We start from the raw sequence: 16,636 nt of genomic DNA on the forward strand, positions 1-16,636 counted from the left end.
AGTGGCTCTAAATTTGACACATGCACATTGAAGCAAGTCAAAGGACTTGATATGAAGCATAGAAGCACATAATGCCAAATAGCAAGCAGTAATTGGTATACATTTGGTGATTGGGCAGTATTTCCTTCTTTTACTGCTGCTAAGGTGGTGGAAATTAGTTAAATTCATTGTGAAATGGCACACACTGAAGGTATTTGTTAATGAGGGTTCCAGAAGCGTTAAAAGTAGCACCACCAAAAGCCAGGTGTGGTGGCTCACGCCTGTAATCCCAGCATTTTGGGAGGCCGAGGTGGGCAGATCACGAGGTCAGGAGATCAAGACCATCCTGGCTAACACGGTGAAACCCCGTCTCTACTAAAAATACAAAAAATTAGCCGGGTGCGGTGGTGGGCACCAGTAGTCCCAGCTACTGGGAGGCTGAGGCAGGAGAATGGCGTGAACCCAGGAGGCGAAGCTTGCAGTGAGCTGAGATCATGCCACTGCACTCCAGCCTGGGCAACAGTGTGAGACTCCATCTCAAAAAAAAAAAAAAAAAAAAGCAGCACCACCATATGCTGTCACAAATGCTAGTGTGACAAGGCAGAGAGGATTGTTGTAGTAGGAAATAATAAAGACATTTCCTTTTCAAAACCAGCACATCTCAAACTTTTTCAGTCAGCTCCCTTTAAACTTCTGGCACTAAAAATAGTGCCTTGCATACTTAATGTTAAATGAAAGACGACTATGTTTTCTGGATTTAGAAAGACCACCTTTAATACCTCAAAATGAAGACATCTGTGCAGTTGGCAGTTGTGAGTGAAAACACTGTTTGCCAAAACAGACGGCTGGTCAGAAATGATTGTATACCTGGGTTGCGTGGGATATCTGCTGCTGCCACTTGTAATCCTCATCATGACAATGTTGGGTAAGACATTTCAAACATAGATACAGTTACAGTAGTTGAAGGAATGTCAGATGACATGACTGTTGTAGATGCAACTTCATCAAGATGGTAAACTAAATAGACATCTACAGCTTCTAGAAGAGGAGAGCAAAACACATGCAAGAAGAAATGGTCAGTGTTTGATTACTGTAGCATTCTGGATGCTTAATAGGGGCTCTGGTTTTGTTGTAAAGGTGATGTCCGTTCTCAGAAATACTGTATCAACATCTTCTATGTGGTGGCTTGCATCTATAGTCTGAGCTGCTTGGGAGGATCATTTGAGCCTAGGAGTTGGAATCCAGCCTGGGCAACATAGTGAGACCCCATCTCTTAAAAAAAAATGGTCTTAACTACTGGAAGATTTGCAGACTTCAAAAAAAAATAGGACTTGAAGTCTTACTGTATGTATTGTCATTGACTGATGACCTACCTGTGTGAATGATTTTGGACAAATCTTACAGCTTGTCAGTGCTTAGGTTACCTTTTATGCAAAGCCAAGGATAGCAAATATGAAAGCACTTTCTGCGTATGTAGCACTGTGTTCATCAAGGTATTATCTTTTTTTTTTTTTTTTGAGATGGAGTTTTGCTCTTGTTGCCCAGGCTGGAGTGCAATGGCACAATCTCGGCTCACCACAACCTCCACCTCCCAGGTTCAAGCGATTCTCCTCCCTCAGCCTCCCAAGTAGCTGGGATTACAGGCATGCGCCACCCTCCTGGCTTATTTTGTGTTTTTAGTAGAAACGGGGTTTCTCCATGTTGGTCAGGCTGGTCTCAAACTCCCGACCTCAGGTGATCCACCCACCTCGGCCTCCCAAAGTGCTGATATTACAGGCGTGAGCCACTGCGCCTGGCCTCATTAAGGTATTATCTTATTGGCAGTGCTGTCCACTCTTCTGTCCCAGTTCCTGAGGTAGCTTTTATAATCTCCTGTTGTATATCAACTGAGAATTATAATCTACATGAAATCCTCTAATATTCCTACCAGAAATTATCTCTTGATTTAAAACAAGATAATATGATGTTGTAACAATTTAGTGGTAATAAGGCAGATTATCTTCTTGCATATACAGGCAGCCTACACAGTTGATACAGATGTGGTGATAAAAGAAAAAGAAGCCAAAGTTACTCTAGTTGAGTAATATAGTTCCCAGATGGCCGGGCACGGTGGCTCACTCCTGTAATCCCAGCACTTTGGGAGGCCGAGGCAGGCAGATTGCTTGAGGTCAGGAGTTCAAGACTAGCCTGACCAACATGATAAAACCCTGTCTCTACTAAAAATACAAAAATCAGCTGGGCGTGGTGGTGGGTGCCTGTAATCTAAGCTACTCAGGAAGCTGAGGCAGTAGAATCGCTTGAACCTGGGAGACGGAGGTTTCAGTGAGCCGAGACCGCGCCACTGCACTCTAGCCTGGGTGACAGAGTAAGACTCCGTCCAAAAAAAAAAAAAAAAAGATTTGGTTTTATTAAACCAATTGCTCAAATATGCATATAAATTTTTTTACATTTAAAGTAATATATACTCATTGAAAAAATTCAAACACTATAGAAAGTTATTAAGTAATACTTCCTCAAGTAACATTTTTTTTTACATGTGGGATCATATTTGAGATCTCTTCTGCAATTTGTTTCTTCTATACTTTGTAAGTCTCAGATATCTTTTCATTTAGTATATGTAATTCTTTAAAATACCTGTGTAGTATTTCTGCTGTACGGATGCTTGGCGGTTTATTTAACTTGCTCCTTATTGATGGAAACTTAGGCTGTTTCCAAAGTTGCAGTATTACAAGCAGTGCTACAGAGAGCATCATTGAAACAGCATCATTGCTTACTTGTACTGGTATACCTATAGGATACATTCTTTTTTTGAGACGGAGTCTCACTCTGTCGCCCAAGTTGGAGTGCAGTGGTGCGATCTTGGCTCACTACAACCTCCGCCTCCCTGGTTCAAGCGATTCTTCTGTCTCTGCTTCCTGAGTAGCTAGGATTACAGGTGTGCGCCACCATGCCTTGCTAATTTTTGTATTTTTAGTAGAGATGGGGTTTCACCATGTTGGTCAGGCTGGTCTCGAACTCCTGACCTAGTGCGCCGCCTGCCTCAGCCTCCCAAAGTGCTGGGATTACAGGCGTGAGCCACTGCACCTGGCCAGGATACATTCTTAAAAGTGAAATTGCTAGGTCAAAGGGCTTTTGCATTTAAAATTTAGACATTATCAAATTTCCTTTAAAAAATGTTATGCCAATTTATATTCCTAACTATACTGTTTCACCACACTCTTGGCAATAATCTTACCAGTCTTTTAAAATTCCTGATTTGATGGGTGAAAAACAGTATACATATAGCATAAATTTGTTCTCATGAATTTTAAGTGAGGTGGGGAAATTGTTTCATATTTATTGACCATGTATTTTTTTTCTTTAAAAGCCCTGTTCATATCCTTTGCTCACTTTTATTCCTTATCTGGTGGTTATTATTTTTAAGAGCTTTTTCTATATTAAATAAATTAATCCTCTGATTATGTACTTTGAATATTTTCTTAATCAAACTAGTGATTTGTCTTTTGACTTTGCTTATGTATGTGTGCTTTGCCATGTTTTGTTTTTATATATCAAATATTCTTTTAATTGTTATAATTTTTTTTTTGTTTGTTTTTGTTTTTATTTTTGTTTTTGTTTTTTGAGATGGAGTCTCGCTCTGTTGCCCAGGCTGGAGTGGAGTGCAATGGCGTGATCTTGGCTCACTGCAGCCTCTGCCTCCCGGGTTCAAGCAATTCTCCTGCCTCAGCCTCCTGAGTAGCTGGGATTACAGGCATGTACCACCATGTCCTGCTAATTTTTGTATTTTTAGTAGAGACAGGGTTTCACCATATCAGCCAGGCTGGTCTCGAACTGCTGACCTCAAGTGATCCACCCACCTCAGCCTCCCAAAGTGCTGGGATTACAGGCATGAGCCACCACGCCTGGCTGCTTATAGATATTTTTTTTGTCATGCTTAGAAATCATCCAAGATTATGACAAAAAGAAAACATGACTTTTTTTTTTTTTTACTTTTGTGGTGTTTTATATTGAAATATTTGATCCATATGAAATTTATTTTTGAGTGATGCATTCATCATTGGGGATCTAATTTTTTAGTTTTCCAAAATGGCTAGTTAGTTGTTTCAACATTATCTATTAAGTCTCTGTTTCTGTATGAACATGCACTAATCCACGTTTCTGGCTCAGATTCCATTTTTCTGAAGTAGTGCAGACTTGTGAGTAGTTGAGAACTTTGTAAAGTTTTTGTGGTCAGTGGAGCAATAGACGATTACAGATGGATTTTACTATCTTATCTTCCCTTTTATTGTTAAGATTGAAAAGTGATTGACTCTTTCAAGAAATACTCCTAAACCTAACCATACTATGGACATAAAGGTGACTTTTCAAGTGACTTTTGTATCGCTTTGTGGAGAACAAAGTGAAGCTGAAATGTAGGTATTATAAGACACGGTCAATGAGAGTTTTTTAGAAAACAATCAGGATTTAAAAATGAGTTTGAATTTCTAGGCAATAAACTAGTCAGTGCCTACACGTTAGCTAATTCTGTTCTTGCCACAAGTAGATGAAGAAAACATTTATTAAAAGAACTGCAACTTGAAAATTGGTTATTAGTCACTGCTTAGTATTCCTTAGTCATCTTTATGAGTGTAATCACATAGGTTGGCTGTCCTTTTTTTTTCTTCAATGCTGCATGACTAGGGGTCAGGAGACAAGGATTTCTTCAGGCTCAGTTACTTATTGGCCATGTGACAGTGTACAAGATGTTCAATTTCTTTGAATCTCAGTTTCTTTATTTTAAAAATAGAAATGAGGCCAGATGTGGTGGCTCACGCTTATAATCCATGCACTTTGAGTAGCTGAGGTGGAAGGATTGCTTGAGACCGGGAATTCAAGACCAGTCTGGGCAACATATCAAGACCCCATCTTTACAAAAGTAAAAAAAGTTAGGTGGGCATGGTAACATGTGCCTGTAGCCGAAGCTACTCAGGAGGCTGAGGTGGGAGGATTGCTTGAGCCCAGGAGTTAGAGGTCGCAGTGAGCTAGGATTGCACCACTGCACTCCAACCTGGGTGACAGAGCAAGACTATATGTTAAAATTTGTAACAAGTTTAACAAGGATGCGGATTTAGAAATTTGGAGGCCATAATGTCTTCAGGGAAAAGAAGAGTTGCAGAAATGGGTGGAAACTATTGGCTAGCAAGAAAACAAAGATAAGAAGTGTAAAATTCTTTCTCAGAACATTTTATATTAGAAGGAAAAGTACAGCATGTCATGAGGGTTAAGTGATCTTCAAAAGGACTGTTTTTAAAAAAAAAATCGTTTCTAAATTTCAGTTATTTTGCCATTATATTACTATTACTATGTAACTTTAAAAAATTCACTTGAAAATTTATTCTCAACCTAAGTAATAAATTGTTAAATCATAGGTTTGATGTTCAATTACTTATTTTTAAAAAACAAATTAAATATATAATAACTTGATAAGTGTTAGTAGAACTACAGATTTTATTTTCAGTATCACTGATGACATCCATATCATAATTTCTGAAACATGATTTTTAAAGAACAAATTGTCTCTGAATTTAAATGTGGACAATATAATTGACTCAGTGGGTTGAACTTTTTGAATAGGGAATGATTAAGACAATAATAGTTTGAAGGGTTAGTCTTGAAAAAGAGATGGGCTACTCTTTCCTCTGACACAGAAATGTTGGAGAAGAGGTTGAAAGACAGCAAAAATTAAGAAACATAGAAGACATTTAAGGATTTGGTACCAAAACTGAACAACTAAAAGTTACTTGGTGGGGCTGGGACTTGAAAGTGGAAAAGGTTTCCAACTACTTTTGTGAGGAATGTCACAGAAATTCATCAAGAGGCAGAGACAAAGATTGCATATTTTCATTGCTGGCCTGCCTAAGGCTTGACTGCAGCAGTTTAGAATGGGCCTATTTTCCTAACTTTTTCTGTAGCGCATGGCAATTTGGAATCAGAAGGCAGATAGCGGGTAATTTCTGGAGTCGGCGTGTGGCATGGTGGGTCCAGGAAATTGGTGGTGGTGATAAGGGACAGATAGAAATAATGACAGAGGGTTAGTAAGTCCGTGCTGGTTAAGAAAACTGGAAAACCAAAATGATGACTTCTATCAGAAGAGAAACTGTCTCTTTCCCTGTCTTTCTCTTTAGCGATGAAACCTTCGCTAGAAATTCCCCTACAGACTTCTCGTGTCTCATTGGCCAGAGTTAGATTACAAGTTATGCTGGCTATCTACCTTTTGCCTCTCCAGTCTTTTCTACGCTACTTTGTTTCCTGGGAGACTGACGTTAAGAACTGCAACAATAGTCTCCAGTGCCCTGTGTGTTTCTGGTAGGCTTGGCCAGTGGGAGAACTTCAGGAGATCTAAGAGCAGAGAGTAAGGTGGGTGTATTTATAACTAAGGTTCTCTCCCTGGTAGGTAACCATTGCTCCTTTCTAATATTTCTCTCTAAAGAGTTCTCTCTGGGTTCCACTAACCCTTTACCCGCTTTGCCCTTTCTGGCCTCAGGATGGTAACAGCTTTCCTGATGTTTATTACTAGCCCTAGAATTCCATATCATCCTTATTACCATCCTTTGTTGCTTTTCTTAAACTCTGACCACACACTAGAAAAAGGACCTCTTTAAATTTTTCCCAGTCAATAAGCTTGAGTGGGTCATCTCTTTGCTGTCTGATACTCAGGTCCATTTTTAAATCAGTTTCTCGCAAAGGCAGTGACATGCATGTCCTTATTTGGGAAGCAACCGGCAGTGTTCACCATGGCTGTGTTACATTATAAAAAATAATGTGTGTGTACTTGTCTGTTTTATTTGCCAACCAGATTTACAGTAAACTTGGCCATCTAGAACAAAGTTGGCAAACGTGGCCGTGTTCATTCTTTTGTGTTTGTAGTGCTTTCTCCTGTTATCACAGTAGAGTTGAGTAGTTGTTACATAGTTGCAGACTATACTGCCCATTACGGAAAAAGCTTTCTGACTCTTGATCTAGAATTACGTTGTTCAATATGGTTGCCACTAGAAGTACACTGTTTAATGTAGTCTGGTTGAGCACTTGAAATGTGGCTAGTCTGGATTGAGAAACACTATAGTTATGATATGTCAGATTTCAGAGACTTACTGGCACCCATTTCTTTTTACTTTTTAATGTGGCTCCTAAAAATTTTAAAATTACACATGGTGATTCACATTTTATGTGTATGTCTGTGTATATATGTGTATATATATATGTATATGTGTGTATATATGTGTATATATATATGTATATGTGTGTATATATATGTATATATATATTTTTTTTAGACAGAGTTTTGCTTTTGTTGCCCAGGCTGGAGTGCAATGGTGCTATCTCTGCTCACCGCAACCTCCGCCTCCCAGGTCCAAGCGATTCTCTTGCCTCACCCTCCCAGGTAGCTGGGATTATAGGCATGCGCCACCACGCCTGGCTAATTTTGTATTTTTAGTAGAGACGGGGTTTCCCCATGTTGGTCAGGCTGGTCTCGAACTCCTGACCTCCGGTGATCTGCCTGCCTCGGCCTCCCAAAGTACTGGGATTACAGGTGTGAGCCACCGTGCCTGGCCACACATTGTATGTTTATAGGACGACACTGATCAGGAATGTAACTGGTGGCCTAGAAAGTAAGTAGATAAGCTTCCCTTAGGCCAAAGCCTATTAAATACAATATTGTCAAGAAAAGAGAGCATGGCATTAAGAGGCATCTGACTGAGCTTCAGGCCTCAGAAAAATCCAACAAGTCTTCATGCTTCATTCCTTTGCCTGGAATAATGTTTCTAGCATTTGTTCACCATAATTTTTCTTTATTATTTGAGACTCAGTTCAAATATTGACTCCTGCAAAAGCCTCCTACACCCCTCATTCTCCCACAGCGCTCCTCTGTATTGTCCTTTTCCCTATTTGTAGTTTTCTCCTGAGATCCTGAAGGGAGGGTTTGCCCTGCATGTATTGGGTCCTCAGTGGGCTTTTACTTAATGCATGAGTATATAAATTGAGTAAATTAGTTACCAATTTAACAAGCCTGGTTATTTGTCTCTTTTCTTCTGTGTAGCTTTGGCGGTAGATTGACTATAGTAATAGAAGTGTACGATTGTTAGGGAGAACCCTGTGGAAGCAGCCTAGGTAGAAAGGCACAGCTCCCCAGGACTGCTGAGTGGGGCCTGATTGCACTCCACATTTCCGTTTTTGCTAAAGATATCACTATAATAGTATGGTACAACAATGGATCTCTCTTACTTGTTCCGAAGATTATGTAGGGTAAAGTACATTTTTGTTTTATTTTTTTGTAGAGAATGGGGGGGTCTCACTTTGTTGCTCAGGCTGGTCTCAAACTCCTGGCTTCAAGTGACCCTCCTGTCTCAGCCTCACAAAGTGCTGGGATGATAATAGGCGTGAGCCAGCACGCCTGGAGTCTGGTGTTTTTTTTAGGGTAGCAAAGCATGTCATAATTTTACAAAAATTTTCATCAAAACTGGTTAAAATAAGATTTTTGACATGTCAAGGAATAAATTTTAAACATTCCCATTAAGTATAGCAGGTTTTAAAAGAGATAGCATTTATTCATGAAGATAAGTATTGCAAGCCTGATTTTTTTAGAAATCAGAAATTTAAGGGAAAAAATGTTGAATAGTTTTCCTTATGGACTTATGCGGGGTTCTATTAAGTTTCAGATAGCAAATAACTGACTCCTAGTGTTAGCAGTTAGTGTGTTACTAGAGGGAGGCAAATGATTCCGAAATTACATCACCCTCAGTCCTGGCTTATCATTGTTTCAGGGTCAGTGTTTTAGAAATTGAGAAGCCTTGAGTTGAGTGCTTGTAAATAGTTCTTCAAATCATTGGATGTGGGTGGGGATGGTGGCTCATCCTTGTAATCCCAACAGTTTCAGAGGCCAAGGCATGAGGATTGCTGGAGGCCAGGAGTTCAAGACCAGCCTGGGCAACATAGCGAGGCTCTGCCTTTACAAAAAAATTTTTTTTAATTAGGTGGGTGTGGTGGCATGTGAGTGTGGTGGCATGTGCCTGTAGTCCTAGGTACTTGGGAGGCTGAGGCGGGAGGATCCCTTGAGCCTAGGAGTTCCAGGCCACAGTGAGCTATGATCATGCCATAGCCACTGCCCCCTAGCCTGAGCAACAGAGTGAGAACCTGTCTTAAAAAAAAAAAAGCAGTGGATATTAGCTTTTAGGCATTCTTTTGACTTTGACATCTAATTTTTAAATTTTAAATTGTAGAAAGTTAAGAATTTCTTTGTAATATTGTATGAAGAGGTATTTTGAAGGTAAAGGAAAATGAATTAGCATTTTAAAATATATTTTTCTTCCACTTACTTAACTTTGTCATTTTCAGTGGGGTCTTCAGAGACTCTGTGAACAAATCTTTTTTCTAACTTTCCAGTGGCTGCATCTCAAAGCCTGTTTGTAATGATGGCTGTCGTGTTATTTATGGATAGACAGATTCTTTTTGGAAGGGATGCACAAGTAGTGAGAATTAATCTTTTACAGTCTCCTTACCAATCCTCCTCTCCCATGGTAGCTGAATTAGTTGAAGGAAAGAAGCTTTTGTCTTCATTTTTTTATGAAATAGTTCATTTATGAAACCATGGTCTGGTCATAGAACTAAATTAAAAATATATTCTTTAACTTATTGAAAAATCAAATGGACATTTGTCTTACCCTTATATTTCTTAATCAGTTACCAATTTGTAAATATCTTAAATTAATCCTCTGCTCTCCATTCTCCTTGCCATTTACAACATCACTTTTTGTCCGGATTTATTGCATTTCTCTGTTATGTGGTCCTTTCCATCTTCCAATATCAGCTCAGTATTTTCCTGCATAAAATTCTTAGTTTCCTCAAAGCCCTTGTTATTATATGACCTAGCCTTCTTCCCAGTCATCAATTCTGCCATTATCGATAATTGAAGACATTCCACTGTCTCCTGGCTTCCATTGATGTTAAGTCAGGTATGCGTTGTAATTGCAGTACTTGCGTAGTTGATATTCTTTCTGGGTGCTTTTAGTTTTTTTTTTTAACCCCTGCGTCAGACAGTTTCACTGTGATATATCTAAGTCGATTATTATTATTATTTTTTCTTTTGAGATGGAGTTTCACTCTTGTTGCCCAGGCTGGAGTGCAATGGTATGATCTCGGCTCACCGCAACCTCCACCTCCCGGGTTCAAGCGATACTCCTGCCTTAGCCTCTTGAGTAGCTGGGATTACAGGCATGTGCCACCACGCCAGCTAATTTTGTATTTTTAGTAGACAGGGCTTCTCCATGTTGGTCAGGCTGGTCTCAAACTGCCGACCTCAGGTGATCCACCTGCCTTGGCTTCCCACAGTGCTGGGATTACAGGCGTGAGCCACCACGCCTGGCACTAAGTAGATTATTTATCCTGCTTGGAATTCTTTGACTTTATCCTAGAATTTGTGTCTCTCAACAGTTCTGGCCAATTCTCAGCTATAATCACCTCAAATATTATCTCTCTGTATAGAGCTCTGATTAGATGCATTTTGTACCTTCTCATTCTTCATGTCTTTCTTCCAAGTGACATACTGTGAAAAGAAATGTCCAATAGAAGATTAAATTATATTTCTACCATAAAAACAGAGTAATAGGGCAGTGAAAATAATATACAAGAATATGTAATGACAGAGAAAAATGTTTACAATATATTAAGTGAAAAAAACAGGTTATAAAGCAGTATGTGTATGAGTTTGTTTTTATGTTTTTATGGTTTGTTTTTAAGGGAAGGGGTTATTAAGCTTAAATTACCCCAAATATGCCTCCAAAGTTCATTTTGGCAAAGTAAATATTTCTGTTCAGTGTATTTTTTCTGGGAAATTACTTTTATAAATTTGAATGGCTTTTAATCTTCCTTTTTAGGCAAAATATACAATAGCAATTGTCAATGCTGAAATAAAAATACTTAAGCTGGCCTGGCGCGGTGGCTCACGCCTATAATCCTAGCACTTTGGAAGGCCGAGGCGGGCGGATCACGAGGTCAGGAGATCGAGACCATCCTGGCTAACACAGTGAAACCCTGTCTCTAGTAAAAATACAAAAAATTAGCCGGGCGTGGTGGCGGGCGCCTGTAGTCCCAGCTACTTGGGATGCTGAGGCAGGAGAATGGTGTGAACCCAGGAGGCGGAGCTTGCAGTGAGCCGAGATCGCGCCACTACCCTCCAGCCTGGGTGACAGAGCGAGACTCCGTCTCAAAAAAAAAAAAAAAAATACTTAAGCTATTACCATGTAGAGTAAATAAGAAAATACAAATTCTCAATTTTAAAAATTCATCTGCCAAAGTGATAGTTCATCATCATAGGTTTTTTTTTTTTTTTAACGAAGATAGCAAACTAGACGTTGTGGTTTTCTGTTTCACAGTTTTCAGTATTCATTCCATTCTGTTTCATTCACTTATCTGTGTAGGTCTGTGCACATAATGACGTCTGATGTTTCTCGGTTCCCATAATATAACAGATGACTTGACACTTTATTAAAAGGATAGAATAAAGATATTTAGTATCTCATTATTCACAAACTCATTTGTGAATAATGGCAGATGGCATTCAAAATTAACTCTACCCTGGGCTAAGCATGGTGACACATGCCTATAATCTCAGCATTTTGGGAGGCTGAGGCAGGAGGATTGTTTGAGGCCAGGAGTTAAGTCAAGCCCAGCCAGGGCAACATAGTGAGACCTTGTCTCTACAAAACACTTAAAAAAAAATTAGCTGGGTGTGGTGGCACACATCTATGGTCCCAGCTAGCGGGGCGGCTGATGCAGGAGGATCACTTGAGATCAAGTGTTAGAGGCTGCAGTGAGCTGTGATTGTGCCACTGCAGTCCAACCTAGATGACAGAGTGAGATCCTGTCTCAAAAAAAGCCCCCAAAACTCTACCCATATTTTATTAAAAGGGCAGAGATCAATTAATCCCACTGCTTTTAAAATTATAATGGTACCATGATTCAGTGTGAAAATAAGAAACTGTCTCTAAATCTGTGACAATAATAAAGCTCAGTATGCACCATACATACACAGGAGTTATACAGAGCAGCACATTCTCATAAAAAATACTGTCATACCTTTCAAATCCAATTTTTGTTATAAAATTACGAAAAAGATTCTCAGTCAGAATACCGCCGTTAGTCAGGTTAAACACCAGGAAATTACATTACTGTAACTTAATATACAGAAAAGAATATTTCAGAACAGAGAAATTAGAATGAAATGAATTTTAGAATATTTTTAGCATCACCTCCCCAAAACCCTGTACCCATTAGCAGTTATTCCCTTTTTGCCATAACCCCGCGCCTCACTCTCTAGGCAACCACCAGCGTTTTGTCTGTCTCAGTAGTTGTCTATTCTGGACATTGTCATGTAAATAGGATCATACGATATGTAGTCTTTTGTGACTTCCTCTTTTCACTTGGCAAAATGTTTACGTTTCACCCATATTATAGCATGTATTAATATTTCTTTTGGTTTATTGTTAATCCATTTTATGGATATACTACATTTTATTAATCTGTTTTTCAGTTTATGGGTATTTGTTTCCACTTTCTATTATTATGACTAATGCTGCCCATGAATATTCATATACAAGTTTTTGAGAGGGCATGTTTTTATTTCTCTTGTGTATATACCTAGTCCTAGGTCTTATGTTGGCTCTGTGTTTAATCTGTCGAGGAACTTCCAGACTGTTTTTCAAAGCACTACACCATTTAACATTCCCACCAGCAATATCCTGGATAGTTGAAGTTTCTTTCTTCACATTCAAGCCAACACTTGTTGTTTGTGTTTTTGATTATAGCCATCCTAGTGGGTGTGAAATGATACCTCATTGTACTTTTGATTTGAATTTTCCTGATGGCCAGGGATGTTGAGTGTCTTTTTGTGTGGTTATTGGGCTTTTTTTTTTAAAAGAAATATCTGTTCAGTTACTTTGCCTTTTTTTTTTTTTTTTTTAAAAGACAGAGTCTCGCTGTGTCACCCAGGCTGGAGAGCAATGGCGCGATCTCGGCTCACTGCAACCTCCGCCTCCTGGGTTCAAGCTATTCACCTGCCTCAGCCTCCCAAGTAGCTGGGATTATAGGCATGTGCCACCCATGCCTGGCTAATTTTGTATTTTTAGTAGAGACGGGGTTTCTCCCCATCGGTCAGGCTGGTCTCGAACTGCCGACCTCAGGTGATCTGCCCGCCTTGGCCTCCCAAAATGCTGGGATTACAGTCATGAGCCACCGCACCTGGCGTACTTTGCCTATGTTTTAATTGGACTATTTGTCTTTTTATTTTTTTATTTTATTTTACTTTATTTTTGAGACAGTCTTGCTCTGTAGCCCAGGTTGGAGTGCAGTGGCACATTCTTGGCTTACTGCAACTTCTGCTTCATAGGTTCAAGCGATTCTCTCACCTTAGCCTCCCAAGTAGCTGAGACTACAAGTGCGCATCCCACGCCCAGCTAACTTTTGTATTTTCAGTAGAGAAGGGGTTTTGCCATATTGTCCAGGCTGGTCTCAAACTCCTGGGCTTAAGTGATCCTCCCACCTTGGCCTCCCAAAGTGCTATGGTTACAGATGTAAGCCACCATGCCTGGCCTATTTGTCTTTTTAATGTTGAGTTGTAAGAGTTCTTTATGTATTCTGGATACAAGTCCCTAATCAGATTTGCAAATTTTTTTTTTTCCCATTCTATGGGTTGTCGTTTTACTTTCTTGATGGTGTTCTTTGTAGCACAAAAGTGACTTAAATTTTGATAGAATCTATCAATATAGTTTTTCTATATTTTCTAATCTTGATTGTTCTTTTGGTGTTTAAGAAGTCATTGTCTAGTCCAAGGCCTGTTTTCTTCTATATTTTTAGGTATTTGATCCTTTTTGAGTTAGTTTCTACATATGGTGTGAGTTCCAGGTCCATCTTCATGCTTTTTCATGTGGCTATTCAGTTGTCCCAGCTCCATTTGTTGAAAAGAAGAATCTTTCCGCATTTTTCTTGGCACCCTTTTCGAAAATCAATTATTAATAATCATAAAGGTGAATGTTTATTTCTGGACTCTCAGTTCTTTTACATTGATCATCTATGTGTCTATCTCTAAAATTGGGAAGTGTGAGTTTTCCAGCTTTGTTATTTTTTTTTTCATGATTTGTATGGCTATTCTGTGTTCTTGAATTTCTATATGAATTTTAGGATCAGCTTGTCAATTTTTGCAAAGAAGCCAGGTGAAATTTTAGTGAGTATTGCTTTAAATCTATAGAAAAATTGGGGAGCACTGCCATATTAACAATATTAAATCTTCTAGTCAATGAATATGGGATGTCTTTAGACTTATTTAGTTCAATTTTTATTCCATTTTCTTCATGGCACCTTTTATTTGCATCAGATATTATAAAGTTGATGAACTCACATTCTTTTATTTTATTTTACTTATTTATTTTTTTGAGACAGAGTCTCGCTCTGTTGCTCAAGCTGGAGTGCAGTGGCATAATCTCAGCTCACTGCAGCTTCCACCTCCCAGGTTCAAGTGATTGTTCTGCCATCTTCCCAAGTGTCAGGGACTACAGGCGCACGCCACCACGGCCTGTCAAATTTTTGTATTTTTTTTTTTTTTGAGATGGAGTCTCATTCTGTCTCCCAGGCTGGAATGCAGTGGCGCGATCTTGTCTTACTGCAACCTCTGCCTCCTGGGTTCAAGCAATTGTCCCTGCCTTGGACTCCCAAGTAGCTGGGATTATAGGTGTCTGCCACCATGCCTGGACAATTTTTATAGTTTTAGTAGAGGTGGGGTTTTGCCATGTTGACCAGGCTGGTCTCGAATTCCTGACTCAGGTGATCCGCCTGCCTCGGCCTCCCAAAGTGCTGGGATTACACACATGAGCCACCACGCCCAGCCATGAACTCACATTCTTGGACATAATCTTTGTCATCCTTTGCAATCATTTCTGGTTGAGGAATGGCATTTTTTTTTATTCTTGGCACGTTGGCATAGATCCTCTGAGACTTTCTTTTGAACCATTGTATTTTTAAAAACATTTATTGTAGAGATAGGGTCTTGCTACATTGCCCATGATGGTTTCAAACCCCTAGGCTCAACTGATCCTCCCCACTTGGCCTCCCAAAGTGTGGGGATTGCAGGCATGAGGCACCATGCATAGCCTGAACCATTATATCTTTATCATTCATGTTCACCTTAAGACTGTATAACATAATGATTTCCTCCATTATAGTCTGCAGAAATTCCAAGTCAGAAGTCTTTGTTGTGGAACTATCCTCCATCTCTAGCGCAGCTGTGGTTGGCTCCCATCTCCAATTGGCTGTTTGGTTGGACCTCTTCTATGTCTTTTAACCTATTATTCTCTGTCACTATTTCTCTGGGCTATCCTCTGTATAATTTCCTTTGATCTATATTCCCATTTACTAGTACTCTCTTCAGACATGTTTAATCTACTGTTTAATTTATCCATTGAATTTGAAACTTCAATTTTTTTTTGTTTTGAGAAATCTTGTTTGTTTTCAAATCTGTTTGGTTAAATGGTTTCTTGTTACTTGCTTATGTTTTCCTTCTTTTTTTCTTTCCTTTTTTTTTTTGAGACAGGGTCTCACTGTGTTGCCCAGGCTGGAGTGCAGTGGTGCGATCACGCTCACTGCAGGCTCAAATTCTTGGGTTCAAGTGATCCTCTCACCTCAGCCTCCCAGGTAGCTGGGACTACAGGCGTGCACCACCATGCCTGGCTAATTTTAAAACTTTTTTTTGTAGAGATGGGGTCTTGCTATGTTGTCCAGGCTGGTCTTGAACTCCTGGCAACAAATAATCCTCCCCACCAGCCTCCTAAAGTGCTAGGATTACAAGTGTGCACCCCCACGCCCAGCCTTCCTTTTCTATGTTTTCAAGTTTCACTTTTATTTCCCTTAACATATTGATCATTCTGATTTTTTTGTCCTAAAAGTAACAATTCCATTATCTTTAGTTTTTCAGATCTGCATCTCTTGGCTTTTGTTTCTGCTGTTTCCCATTTATTCTGCCTAGTTTCCTAGTGTGTTTTATGAAGTTTGACTATTCTCCTTTTTTTTCTTTTTTTCTTTTTTTTGAGACAGAGTCTCACTCTGTCATCCAGGCTGGCGTGCAGTGGCGCAATCTCGGCTCACTGCAACCTCCGCCTCCCAGGTTCAAGTGATTCTCCTGCCTCAGCCTCCTGAATAGCTGGGACAAGCCTCTTCTTTTTATGGTAACTTTATCTGTTGGAATTCTGTACGGCCTTGATTGATACTGTAATCTTCCAGGGAGGAATTGCACTTATGTCTGCCAGTAGCCTGGAGACCCGACTTGGGTTAGCTTTAGAACATATTTATCTCATATTTTTCAGACCACATAGATAGTGTGAATTTAGATTGCAAACACTAGTGAGGGGGTTATGATTTCTTGGGGCAAATTTTCCCTCTCTGCACAGCATCAAGTAGAGACAGACAGATTTCCTTCTGTTTTGGTTTCTTTCTTATACACTGAGGATGTAGCCTTATGTGTGGTCCCTAGTTTTACGTGGCAGTATCCTGTTAGACTTCCCATTTTGGGCAGGCCCTAGACTTTGCCATTCTGTAAAGTATTGTCCTCTGTGTACTATTCTGCAAAAATACTGTA

General features: G+C 39.5%; 1 protein-coding gene and 1 pseudogene across 8 annotated transcripts in view; both read left to right on the forward strand.

Annotated features, from left to right (window-relative positions):
- Nucleotides 1-16,636, forward strand: part of SOAT1 (sterol O-acyltransferase 1) — a 64,884-nt gene that overhangs the window by 12,516 nt on the left and 35,732 nt on the right. Inside the window, exons 1-2 of one of the 8 annotated variants that reach the window (XM_047428828.1) lie at nucleotides 8,695-8,698; nucleotides 11,132-11,135. The exons of 6 other annotated variants lie outside the window; for them this stretch is intronic. The gene's annotated coding sequence lies outside the window, so the exon portion shown is untranslated. Of the gene's footprint in view, nucleotides 1-8,694; nucleotides 8,699-11,131; nucleotides 11,136-16,207; nucleotides 16,227-16,636 lie in introns of those variants that run through there. One more of the 8 variants, XM_047428831.1, reaches the window with a different exon arrangement.
- On the forward strand, nucleotides 527-1,106 carry LOC100420262 (mitochondrial fission factor pseudogene; annotated as a pseudogene).

This window comes from Homo sapiens, chromosome 1 (assembly GCF_000001405.40).
Source record: "Homo sapiens chromosome 1, GRCh38.p14 Primary Assembly".
Taxonomy (NCBI): Eukaryota; Metazoa; Chordata; class Mammalia; order Primates; family Hominidae; genus Homo; species Homo sapiens.